The 13,082-nt window shown below is 41.9% G+C and overlaps 1 annotated feature.

Annotated features, from left to right (window-relative positions):
- Nucleotides 3,290-3,349: an enhancer, noted in NCBI's record as "active region_22185". NCBI's record gives its function as "activates an Ori minimal core promoter by ATAC-STARR-seq in GM12878 lymphoblastoid cells {active_cell/tissue: GM12878}" and the evidence as "EXISTENCE:reporter gene assay evidence [ECO:0000049][PMID:35858748]".

Consider the following 13,082-nt stretch of genomic DNA (forward strand, 5'->3'; position numbering starts at 1 on the left):
TGGCATTGCGCTAAGCTTTTATGTGTTTTATCTCATTTCATTCTCATAACAATCATAAAATGCAGTAATTTTCCTTATCTCCCCTGTACAAATAAAAAAGTGGAGACACAGAGAGATTAAATAGGCTGCCAGAAGAGGGATGCCCAGTCATTAAATTGTAGAAAAGGAATTCAAACATAGGCATTCTGACTCCAAAATATTTACTTGTAACAAGTACAAAAAGGAGTTAGTTACATAAGGATTTGCATTTTTATACAAAAATTTCTACACAAAACTGCCAGTAAAGGCAAGACAGCTTTAGAACCTCACCAGAGTAAAACACTAGAGGTGGAGAGAGAGGAGATGGTATAGTCTGGGGAAGATGTATTCCAGCAGTGCTAGTGAGAGAGGATAAAGAATGCCTTCATAAAACACCCATGTGAAAATACACTCCACAGCCTTCCTGAACCCAGAAATGTCCAACAGTACAATGATACATACAGCAAATCAGGGGCTACTGTTCTGATTCTGACACTGACTCCACTGTGCCCTACAATTAGTGTGACCCAGGGAAACACATATTATATATGTGGTTTTCAAATTTGCCTGCATGTTGGAAATACCTGGGAGACTTTAAAAATACTAACATTTGGGTCTCGCCCCCAGAGGTTCTGATTTAATTGGTTCTGGAAATTTAAGTTTAGTTTAAGGCTTCCAAGTGACTCTAATGTGCCATCAGGGTTGAAAACCGCTGTATTAGAGGGCATTACAGCTTACTTGATGAGTACTGGGAAAGACTGCTTTAGCCAATCTGCCAAACTCTGAGTTTTAGTTGAAGGGCTTAATGCATTTACATTTAGTGTAATTATTGATAAAGTAATTATATTTATATCTACAATTTGCTATTTGTTTTCTATGTCTTTTTGTTGTTCTATGCCTCCATTATTGCTTTCTTCTGTGTTAGAGATTTTCTAGTGTATCATTTTACTGATTTCTTTCCTGTATTTTTTTAGTTATTTTCTTACTTGTTACCCTGAGGATTGCAATGAACATCTTAGTTTATAAAAATCTAGTTTGAATTATATCAGCTTAATTGAAATTATATACAAAACTGTTGCTCTGTATAACTCCATTCACTCCTCTTTTTTGTGCTATCATTGTCGTACAGGTAACGTCTTATATAGGTTATATCCATCAACATAAATTTACAATTATTGTCACGTGCAGTTGTCTTTTAAATCATATAGGACCGGCTGGGCGTGGTGGCTCATACCTGTAATTGCAGCACTTTGGGAGGCTGAGGCCAGTGGATCACTTGAGGTCAGTAGTTAGAGGCCAGCCTGGTCAACATGGCGAAACCCTGTCACTTCTAAAAATACAAAAAAAATAGCTGGGTGTGATGGTGTGCACCTGTAATCCTAGCCACTCAGGAGGCTGAAGCAGGAGAATCCATTGAACCCAGAGGCAGAGGTGGCAGTGAGCCGAGATTGCAGTGAGCCCAGTTCACACCACTGCACTCCAGCCTCCTGGGCAACAGAGCAAGACTCTGTCTCAAAAAAATAAATAAATAAATAAAAGAAAAAAAAGGAAGAAAGGTGAAACAAAAAATCATATAGAAAAGAGTTACATGTGAAAACATAATTATACTGTTATTTACATTTACCTGTGTAGTCACCTCTACTGGTGCACCTTTCTTCTTCATATAGATTTGAATTACTGTCTAGGGTGCTTTAATCTAAGCCTGAAGAACTCCCTTTAGTATTTCCAGTAGGGTAGATTGCTAGCAATGCATTCTCTCTGTTTCTAAAATCTGGGAATATTTTATTTCTCCTTCATTTTTGAAGGACAGTTTTGCTGAATTCCTGGCTTCTGAAGGAGTTTTGTTAGATATAAAATTCTTAGATGAGTCTTTTTCTTTCAGTGCTTTGAATATAACATCCTACTCTCTCTACTATCCATAGATTTTGATGATAAATCAGCTCTTAATTTTATTGAGAAATTCTTGGATGTCATAAGTTGCTTCTTTCTTATTTTTAAGATTCTCTATCTTTAGTTTTGATGTTTATCATGTGTCTAAGTGTGCATCCCTTTGAGTTTATTCTACTTAGGGTTCATTAAGCTTCTTAAATACATACATAAATAAATGTTTTTCACCAGATTTGGGAAGTTTTCAGCCATATGTCTTCAAATAATTATTACTCCCCTTTCTCTCTCTCCTTACCTTCTGGGATTCCTATTATGTATATGTTGGTATGCTTGATGGTGTTCTACATATCACTGAAGTTCTTTTCATTTTTCTTCATTCTTTTTTCTGTTTCTTAGACTGGATAATCTCAACTAACCAATCTTCAGTTTGGTGATTCTTCCTTCTGTCTCAAATTTGCTGTTGAAACAATCTAATGGCTTTTTCATTTTAGTTATTGTAAATTTTACCTCCAGAATTTCTATTTGCTTCTTTTAAAAAAGTAATTTATATCTATTGATATTCTCTATTTAGTGAGACATCACTCTTATACTTTCCTTTAGTTCTTTAGACATAGTTTCCTTTAGTTTTTGAAGGCATATTTTAAATAGCTGACTTAAAGTGTTTTTAGTAATTTAAACATCTGGGCTTACTGTGGGACAGTTTCATTGATTGCTTCCTTCCTGCACATGGGTCATAATTTCTTGTTTCTTGGCATGTGCTATGGTTTGAATGTGTCCCCCAAAATTTATGTGTTGGAAACTTAATCTCCCATGCAACAGTGTTGAGAGGTGGGAACTTTAAGAAGTGATTAGGTCATATGACTTTGCCCTCATGAATGGATTAACATCATTGTAACAGGAATGGGTCAGTTATTATGAAAGTGGGTTTGTTATAAAAGTGAGTTTGGCCCCCTCTTGCTCTCTTATTCTCACTCTCTCTTGCCCTTCTGCCTTCCACCACAGGATGACACAGTATAAAGTCCCTTACCAGATGCTAGCACCATGCTCTTGGACCTCCCAGCCTCTAAAACCATTAGCCAAATACATTTCTGTTCATTATTAGTCACCTAGTCTCAAATATTCTGTTATAGCAGCAAACAATGACAACATGGACTAAGATAGCATGTCTCACAATGTTTGTTGAAAACTACATTTCAAATAATACAGTATGGCAATTCTCAAAATCAGATTCTCCCCATTCCCCAGAGTTTGCTATTACTGCTTTTGTGTGTATTTTTGTTTGTTCAGTGACTTCTCTGAATGAATTCTTTGTGTTCTTTGTTGTGTGTAGCCACTGAAATTCCTGCTTAGTAGTCAGCTTAGTAGTCAGCTAATGATTACAGAGAGATTTCCTTAAACACCTGGAACCAATAAGCCTCTTGGTCTTTGCCAGTGGGCCATCTGTGTACATTGGGCACACCTTTAGGACTCAGCCAGGCAGCTGACAACTCTATCTTAGCTTTCACTTCCTCACTGTGCAGAGGTTCAAGGTCAGCAGAGGTCAGAGCTCAGGGCCTTCTCAGGTCTTTCTTGAGCATGCAGACAATGCTGGGCATGCACACAGCCCAATGTGGCCTTGTAGATTCCCAGGAATATGCAGGAGCTTTTCAAAGCCCCATGGACATCCCACTCTCCAGCTTTTCCTTTTAAATTTTTTGGCTAGTCTATTATTTGCCCCAACTGTTATCCACTGCTTTGGGAGGCTGCAAAGTTAAACAATGTCTTTTAAGTGTTTTTGACAAATGTCCCCAAGGAAAGGCTTTGGTACCAGGTGAGCTCAGAGTCAGGTCAAACAAAGACAGTCTTGTTAGTAGGGTCTCTCAGGGAACTACGCAACAGGTGAAATAATGACAATTCTCAAGGAATAAGGCCTTGAAGAACCCTAGCCCATTTTGCCCCCTCTGGTGGCTGCCAAGCTGCTGGTTTTCACTGTGATTGGGAGGCTGTTTTCAAGGCTAACATAAAGTCAGAGAAAAGGGAATGGAGATGGGGCGAGTGAAAATGCCATAAAGCTAGTTGTTCTTACCAAGATTCAGCCATTTTTCTTGAGTAAATTCTCCCTGGATTGTGACAAGACTTTAATTTTCAGAGTTCTGAGAAAAGTTGATTCTGACCATTTTTGCCATTTTCTCATTGCTTTCTATGGAAGAAAGAATTTTCAGAGGTCCTCACTTCGCTATTTTTGCTGACATCAACTCCCAGTAAGGTGGCTGGGTATGGTAGCTCATGACTATAATCCCAACCCCTTGGGAGGCTGAGGCGGGTGGATCACTTGAGGTCAGGAATTCAAGATCAGCCTGGCCAACATGGTGAAACCCTGCCTCTACTAAAATACAAAAGATTAGCTGGGCATGGTGGTTCGTGCCTATAGTGCTAGCTACTTTGGAGGCTGAGGCAGGAGAATCACTTGAACCTGGGAGGCAGAGATTGCAGTGAGCTAAGATTGCACCACTGCACTCCAGCCTGGGCAACAGAGTGCGACTCTGTCTCAAAAATCAAAAACTCCCAACAAGGAACTACTGGTCTAGTGAATGAATATCATCATATTCACACCTATGCTTCATGTTCATTTCAATTGTTTTAACACTTTGTATTAAGACAGCTCTGTTTCTCTGGAGGTCCTGCTGAGACTTCTAGCTGTGTGCCACTGGCAATGAAACCCAACATATTTACCATACACACTTGTGAGCACATTCTTCAGATATCCCTCTGAATTATAATTGTAGCTGTTGTAAGTCATTTTGGGACAGTCTGCCCTCGAGGAACCAAAACAAATAAATAGAAAAGATTATCTCTCAATAGCTTTAATTAATTTTGTTCCATTAGTCTTGCACTTTCATACTGCTATCACATAATTATTTGTAAATTATATTCATAACTGTTTCTTAATTTGTAGTAATTTTATCACTCAGAGGATAATAGTTAATTATTTTCCCTATAATTATCATGGAAGAAAAACAGGGCTCTTTAAAACTGTGAAATTAAATTGGAAAGGAATTTCAAACAGCCACACTTCCCTTTGCCCTGACATCCCAGATGGTGTCTATGGTTTGTGTTCACAGTTATGCAAAATGACAGATGTCAGGAAGCAAATATTTTCAGCATATTAATAAGAGTGAATGCACTGCCACCTTCTGCATTGCAGCCATGCACTGACACAGAATGCTGATAACTCTCAGATGGAGCAGACGAAAAGGCTCAGGTACACTCCTGGATTGTTTAGTGTCTGGAGCAGTCAATGGAAAATCAAAACACTGAAGATCTAGCACCTACTCCACCAGAGACTCACTGTGTGACTTTGGTCATGTTCCTTTTAGGAGACAGGGATATGAACTAGTAAGTAGAGAAGTAAGACTAGTAAGCAGAGAGCCACATCTCATTGATTCAGCATCATCATCAGAGATGAGATGGTGCACACACCATAATTCTCCAAATAGCTGAAGCTTATTTTAAGCTCTGACATGTTAATTTTTATCAATTTTGAAGGAAATCCCTCTAAAACATATCATACAGTCATATTGTTTCTTAAAGTGAATGACATAAAACATAATTTCAACCTCCTCTTTAACCAACACAAAAATATATAATAGGCGGGGCGCGGTGGCTCACGTCTGTAATCCTAGCACTTTGGGAGGCTGAGGTGGGTGGATCACCTGACGTCAGGAGTTCAAAACCAGCCTGGCCAACACAGCAAAACCCCATTTCTACTGAAAATACAAAAAATTAGCTGGGCATGGTGGCAACTTGGCAGGCTGAGGCAGGAGAATTGCTTGAACCCGGGAGGTGGAGATTGCAGTGAGCTGAGATCATGCCACTGCACTCCAGCCTGGGCGACAAAGCAAGACTCTGTCTCAAAAAATAACAATAATAATAATAATAATAATAATAATAAAACAGATGGGACAAATAGGTAAATTTACTCCCAAATTTACATGACATGGAAATGGATTATGTGTGGCAGTTAAAAGAGATCTGCTGTAGTCAAAGAACTCTCTTCCCAACTTGACCATTTCCAAAAAGGCCTGCATCTGCTGGAGGTGACATGTCACTCTACAGAGGCCTCTGGGCCTGACTTCTCTTCCAGAGGGCTGAGACTTAGTATGTGGATTTGCAGGCCTAGTAGCCAGAGTCGCTGATCCCTCCGGCCTCCTCTGGAATGTGTTCTTGGATGAGTTAGGCTTTCTCAACACGTGAACGCAGTGTTTCAGGTCTATCCCCTAATCTTAAGTACTATGACCCTCTTACCTTCTAGGTGAGGGGTGCCCCCCTACTCTCTGTTCAAATCATGTTTCAGGTGGAATGGAAAGGTGATGTGTCTGGTTTTCAAATCCTTGTGCGTTGGAAGCATTGATGATGACGGCAGCAACCTCAGCTCATTCATTTTAGCTCCCTCTGCTGTTTCAGCAACATAGATCATTAAAACAAAAAACTACCACAGAAAACCAAACCAACAACAACAAAACCCCTAAGAACTCTATTTTTTTTTTTCTAAGAACTCTCAAGGAGAGGAAAAGGAAAGAAACTTAATTGGGGCTTGAAAGTTTTATAAAAGAAGCAATCTTTATATGAAAAACTAAAGAGGATATGGAATACACTTTTCTAAAATAGCTACTTTTTCTTTCACTGTGTCTTTTTATCATCATTAAAAATTATGTTCACATTAATAAATATTACCAATCTGATAATAATAATTTATGGCTTGGAGTTATTGATTTATTCTTCAACAAATATTTATGATCCCATTATGCACATAGTACATGGGGCTGGGTGCTGTGGATACACAGGGGAGGAAGAGAGTTGTTTTAATAATGCTCTTTAGCTGGGCACAGTGGTTCATGCCTGTAATCCCAGCACTTTGGGAGGCCGAGGCAGGCAGATCACTCAAAGTCAGGACCAGTTTGGCCAAGATGGCAAAACCCCATCTTTACTAAAAATACAAAAATTAGCTGGGTGTGGTGGCATGAGCCTGTAATCTCAGTTACTTGGGCGGTTGAGGCACAAGAATCACTTGAAACCGGGAAGCAGAGGTTTCAGTGAGCCGAGATTATGACACTGCACTCCACCCTGGGCAACACAGTGAGACCCTGCCTCAAAAAAAAAATACAAAAAGTAGCCAGGCACAGTGGCGCATGCCTGCAATCCCAGCTACATGGGAAGCTGAGGCAGGAGAATCACTTGAACCCAGAGGTGGAGACTGCAGTGAGCCAAGATCACTTCACTGCACTCCAGCCTGGGTGACAAAGAGAGACCCTGTCTCAAAAAATTAAAAAAAAAAAGATACTCTTTAATCTCATAAATCTGCATGGGTTTATTCCTGTTTTCATTGTCATAACCATTCCTTGGAAAATAGATGAAATCATTAATGAAGATTAATGTAATTTACTATAGATTTATTTTAAAAAATAAAACCCTTTAAAAGTTTTGTCTCTGATCTTCAAACCTATCATTAAAGGCAGTAGTATGAACCTTGAAAACAAACTTGGGCACGTGACCTAAACCTTCTGTGCCTTAGTTTCCTTAGTATAAATGGGATGCTGGCGATAACACTACTTCATATAGGATTGTTGGAAATAATAAATGAGTTAAATCACTTTAAGTGCTCAGGCTAATACCTGACACCCAGAAAGCACGAAATAAATGTTAGTTATTATCTTTATTCATTTGTGAATTCACTGAGCACCTACTATGTTTTTCCTATTCATATGAGCAAACATACAAAGACTTTATGCTTTGCTAATTGTTTCCATCATTTACAGCAAAATTTCTAAAAGACAAGTTTTCCATAATTGCCGTCTCTGCTTCCCTACTGCCGGTTCTCACTTAAATCCTCCATACTCTGGATCCTGACTTTGGTCCCCTTCAGTACCTGTATTCCTGAAAGGCCGTTAAAGATCCCCAAATTCCCCGCCGGGCTTGGTGGCTCACGCCGGTAATCCCAGCACTTTGGGAGGCCTAGGTGGGCAGATCATGAGGTCAGATCAAGACCATCCTGGCCAACATGGTGAAACTCTGTCTCTACTAAAATACAAAAAATTAGCTGGCGTGGTGGTGCTTGCCTGTAGTCCTAGCTACTTGGGAGGCTGAGGCAGAGGAATCCCTTGAACCCAGGAGGTGGAGACTGCAGTGAGCCGAGATCGCACCACTGCACTCCAGCCTGGCAACAGAGTGAGACTCCATCTCAAAAAAAAGAAAAAAAAAAAGATCCCCAAAGTCCAGTAAGACATTCACGTGGACCTTCTTCGTCTTGAAGTCTGGAAAGCATCTGCTGCCTGACATGTATTGTTCTTGTGGTTTCTCTGACACAGTGGTGGCAGAGTTCTTTTTTTTTTTTTTTTTGAAACAGGGTTTCACTCTTGTTGCCCAGGCTGGAGTGCAATGGCTTGATCTCAGCTCACCACAACCTCTGCCTTCGAGGTTCAAGCGATTCTTCTGCCTCAGCCTTCCAAGTAGCTGGGACTACAGGCATGTGCCACCATGCCGGCTAATTTTGTATCTTTAGTAGAGATGGGGTTTCTCCATGTCGGTCAGGCTGGTCTCGAACTCCCGACCTCAGGTGATCCACCTGCCTCGGCCTCCCAAACTGCTGGGATGACGGGTGTGAGCCGCTGCTCCTAGAGTTATTTTATCTCTGACTCTTTTTCTGTTTCCTTTGATCTTTCTTTTGTCCCAATGAGGCAGGGAACCTAAGGATTTCCTACAACTAAATCAAACGGAAACACTTCAGTAGGATAGGAAATGTCCTCTTCATTTACATAGGGCGTACACCGAGTAAATGACTTTATAACTTTACTTCATCCCCTTCATTTGCAAAGGGCATACAGTAAGTAACCAATGGAAACCTCTCGAGGGTATTTAAACCCCAGAAAATTCTGTAACAGGACTCTTGAGCCTCTATGCTCCGGCCCGCTCCCACACTGTAGACTGTACTTTTGTTTTCAATAAATTTCTGCTTTTTTTTTTTTTTGAGACAGGGTCTCACTCTGTTGCCCAGGCTGGAGTGCAGTGGTGTGATCTCGGCTCACTGCAGCCTCCGCCTCCTGGGTTCAAGTGATTCTCGTGCCTCAACCTCCCTAGTAGCTGGGACTACAGCCGTGTGCCACGATGTCCAGGTAAGTTTTGTATTTTTAGTAGGCACGGGGTTTCACCATGTTGCCAGCTGTAACTCAGGGATTCCCAGGATCCCGTCTTCAGTTTTGACAATTTGGTAGAACAGCTCACAGAATTCAGGGAAACTCTTTACTTATGTTTACTGCTTTATTATAAAGGGTACAACTCAGAAACAGCCAGACAGAAGAGATGCATAGGTCAAGGTATGGGGTGGGGGTGCATGGAGCTTCCACGCCCTCTGGGGCAGGCCACCATCCCAGCACCTCCATGAGCTCAGCAACCTGGAAGTTCATCAACTCTTGTTCAAGGGTCTTCAGAGAGCTGTTTTCCAGTGAGTGGGGATGAAAGTTACAACCTTCTAATCACTTGGTGTTTCTGGTTACCAATCCCATCCTAAGGCTATTTAGGGGCCCCACCCTAAGTCACGTCATTAGCACAACTTAAAGGTTCTAGAAAGGGACTTTTTAACACAGACAAAAGCCACTCCTATCGTTCAGGAAATTCCAAGGGTTTTAAGAGCTTTGTTGCAGAAATCTGAGACAAAGGACATATATATATAAAATATATAAATATATACGTATTATTATTATTTTTATTTTTTTATTTTTTTGAGATGGAGTCTTGCTCTGTTGCCCAGGCTGGAGTGCAGAGGCGTGATCTCGGCTCACTGCAAGCTCCGCCTCCCAGGTTCAAGCGATTCTCCTGCCTCAGCCTCCTGAGTAGCTGGGATTACAGGCACCCACCGCCACGCCAGTTCAATTTTTGTATTTTTAGTAGAGACGAGGTTTCACTATGGTGCTCAGGCTGGTCTCGAACTCCTGACCTCATGATCCACCCACCTCGGCCTCCCAAAGTGCTGGGATTACAGGCATGAGCCACTGCACCCAGCCAAATATATTTCAGAGCCAAAGGGCTTAGGTATGAACTCAAGCACCATGACTTAGGAGCTGTGTGACTTGGGTGCCTTAAGTAATCTCCATGAATCACAGTTTCCTCGTCCGTTAAATGGCGATAATAATAAAACCTCCCTAATAAGCTTGTTGTGAGGATTAAGCAAGTTAACAGAAGCACTTAAAATAGTACCTGGCACATAGTAAGCGATTCGAAAGTGTTTGCTCACTATTCACTCCGTGGCTCACTCCATTGTAAGATAATATTCTAACTCCTTTCTTCCCTACAGGTTAAGTTCCCAAGGGCTTTTAAGGCTCTCTATTTTACAAAATCTTAAATTCCATATTATTCACAGCAAGTAATTTAATAAGTATTAAATAGAGGCAAGATTGGCTAGAAGTGGTCTTCATTCTAAATGAAGACCTTGGGAAGCGGGGTGTGTGTGTATGTGAGTATGTGTGTGTGCATGTGTGTGTGAGTGTGTGTATGAGAGTGCGTGAGTGCATTTGTATTCCAGAACTCCACTTTCTGGAATAGGAATATTTAGGAAGAACATATCTAGGCTTTCAGTACACCTATTGAAATGGGAGAGTTCCCTTATCTCCCTTGCAGGGCGTGTGGCTGGCTTCTTCCGTGCCCTGCTGCTCAGACCCCTAGGGGAGCATGCAGATGGGCAGGTGCAGAGGTCGTGGGGAGCGTTTTTGGGCTCTGACCCCCAAGGCAGTGAAGCCCAAGTGGGCGTGTGTTACAGTGTGCTCCTTCAGCTTTGCTGTCTGCTGATGGCTTGTGTTAATCAGCTGGATAGACCCTCTGCCTTACTGCAAGGGCAGAGGGTGTCCTGTATCCTGAGTTCTTACCCAGTGTACTGGAAAAATTGTATCACACGTGAGCTCAAAGGATGAGTGCAAGGTTTTATTGAGTGGTGGAAGTGGCTTTCAGTGAGATGGGTGGGGAGCCGAAAGGGAGATGGAGTGGGAAGGTGGTCTTCCCCTGGAGTTAGGACGCCCAGCGCCCCCCAGCCAAACTCCCCTCGGTGTCCACCTAGTTCTGCCATCCCTGGTCTGCCGGTGTCTGCTGGTGTGCTCCTCTGCTCCTCTCCATGCCTAGCCACTTGTGTCTGTGCCTGCTAAGGTCTTGGGCTTATATGGACACAGGCTGGGGGCACGTGTCAGGCCAGAGAGGTCTTAGAAAATGCAACATTTGGGCACAAAATCAAAACAGGAGCGCCTGTTCTCACTTAGATCTGTGGGCACAAGCCCAAGGGTGGAGCTCTCGCCAGGGACCCTGCCCTTTTCTACCCAGCACTTTCCTGCCCCCCCGTCCTGTATCACTAGCAGTATAGTAATATATACAGATAAGTACCAAACCCTTGCTTGAAGAATGAAAATCTTTCCAAATCAGAAATTAAGAAGTGATTTTTGGCAGAGATATTGAAATAAATTATGTTCCTGGTTGCTGGTGGAATGTCAGTATTTCCATTATAAATTGTCGATTCAAATTCAGATGGTACAGGATGGAGTTCACTGTGTTCCATTAAAGCCTTTGAATTCCAGGGCGTGTGCGCCCTGATTCCTTTCAGGTTATTACACAGTTTTCCTTGAAACAGGGATAAAATTGGCTGATTCATTAAACTCATCATGACATAATGCTAAGTAATAAATTCAAAGACAAACCCATACAGGAAAATCAGGTCGCAAAAACTAACAATCTTTCTTACACATCCACTTGTTTCATTTGCAGCCATTTTTATGTATTTCAGTTTAATTTATGAGGAGTTCAGTTTAATTTGTGAGGACTCCTAGAATCTTTTGAAGGATCTGCTAGGAATTTGTTGCTCTGTGCAAACAAAGATCTATGCTTCCTTTAAGACTCAGCTCAAGTCACACCTCCCATTAATCTTACTTAACCAGAAATCTTATGTAACTCTTCTTATGGACTGTGTGTTGTGTTCCCAAAAATTCATATATTAAAATCCTAGCCCCCAGTGTGATGGTGTTTGGAGGTAGGGTCTCTGGGAGGTGATCAGGTTATGAGGGTGCAGCCCTTATGAATGGCATTAGTACCCTTATGAAAGAGACCCCAGAGAGCTCCCTCGCCCTCTTTCTGCCAAGTGAGGATACAATGAGAAGTTGGCAGCCTGCACCCCAACAGACCCCTCATAGGAACCCAGCCACGTTGGCACCTTGATCTCGGACTTCCAGCCTCCAGAATGGTGAGAAATACTTATTTGTTGCTTACAAGCCACCCAGTCTATGGTACTTTGGTATAGCAGCTTGAACTGACTAAGGCATTCCCTGGCCTAGTATTTCCACTAGTTCATCATCATAATCACCTATGAGTTTTTGAAAAAAAAAAAAAAAAAAAAAAAAAATCCCAGGCCAGATTTCTAAAGATTCCCCTAGGTAAATCTGGAATAGGCCCAGTAACAATTGTAAAAGTTCCTGTGGGGATTATGATGATCAGGCAGATTTAGAAGCTACTTGTCTATCTCAATCTTCTAGTACTTAATAGGTGTGCAGTAGATGAGTTTAGAAATACCGAACTCCTGCAGACCTGCTTTTCTGAGAACTATTTCTCTATCCACAAGTAGTGGGTCCTGACAAGTTTAACTTTGGTACATGACTTTCTTTTGGGGACAGTGATTTGACCAAGAGAAGGTATCTGACATAAGCTGAGTCAGACTTTTTTCTTGTTTTATTTGAATTGAGAGATTGAGCCTGAAAGAGTTGGGAACTGCGTCACTTAGAAGAGCATGAGACTCAAGGTCCACAGTGCCCTGCTGGGCTTCTGGGGCTTTTCTGCTTCCCGCCTTTTCTGCCTTTTCTGGGGCCCGTTGCCATCAACTCTTCCTGGAGTTCCCGTGAAACACTGGGGCTGCTATAAAAACTACCGCCACCCCTGAGTGCCTTCAAACACTAGAACTGGATTCTCTCACAGTTTAGGAGGCCAGAAATCCAAAATCAAGGTGTTGGCTCACGCCTGTCTTCCTAGCACTTTGGGAGGCTGAGGCGGGTGGATCACCTGAGGTCAGGAGTTTGAGACCAGCCTGGCCAACATGGCGAAACCCCGTCTCTACTAAAAATACAAAAATTAGCTGGGTGTGGTGGCGGGCACCTATAATCCCAGCTACTCAGGAGACT

The sequence above is a fragment of the Homo sapiens genome, chromosome 4 (genome assembly GCF_000001405.40).
Source record: "Homo sapiens chromosome 4, GRCh38.p14 Primary Assembly".
NCBI classification, from domain to species: Eukaryota; Metazoa; Chordata; class Mammalia; order Primates; family Hominidae; genus Homo; species Homo sapiens.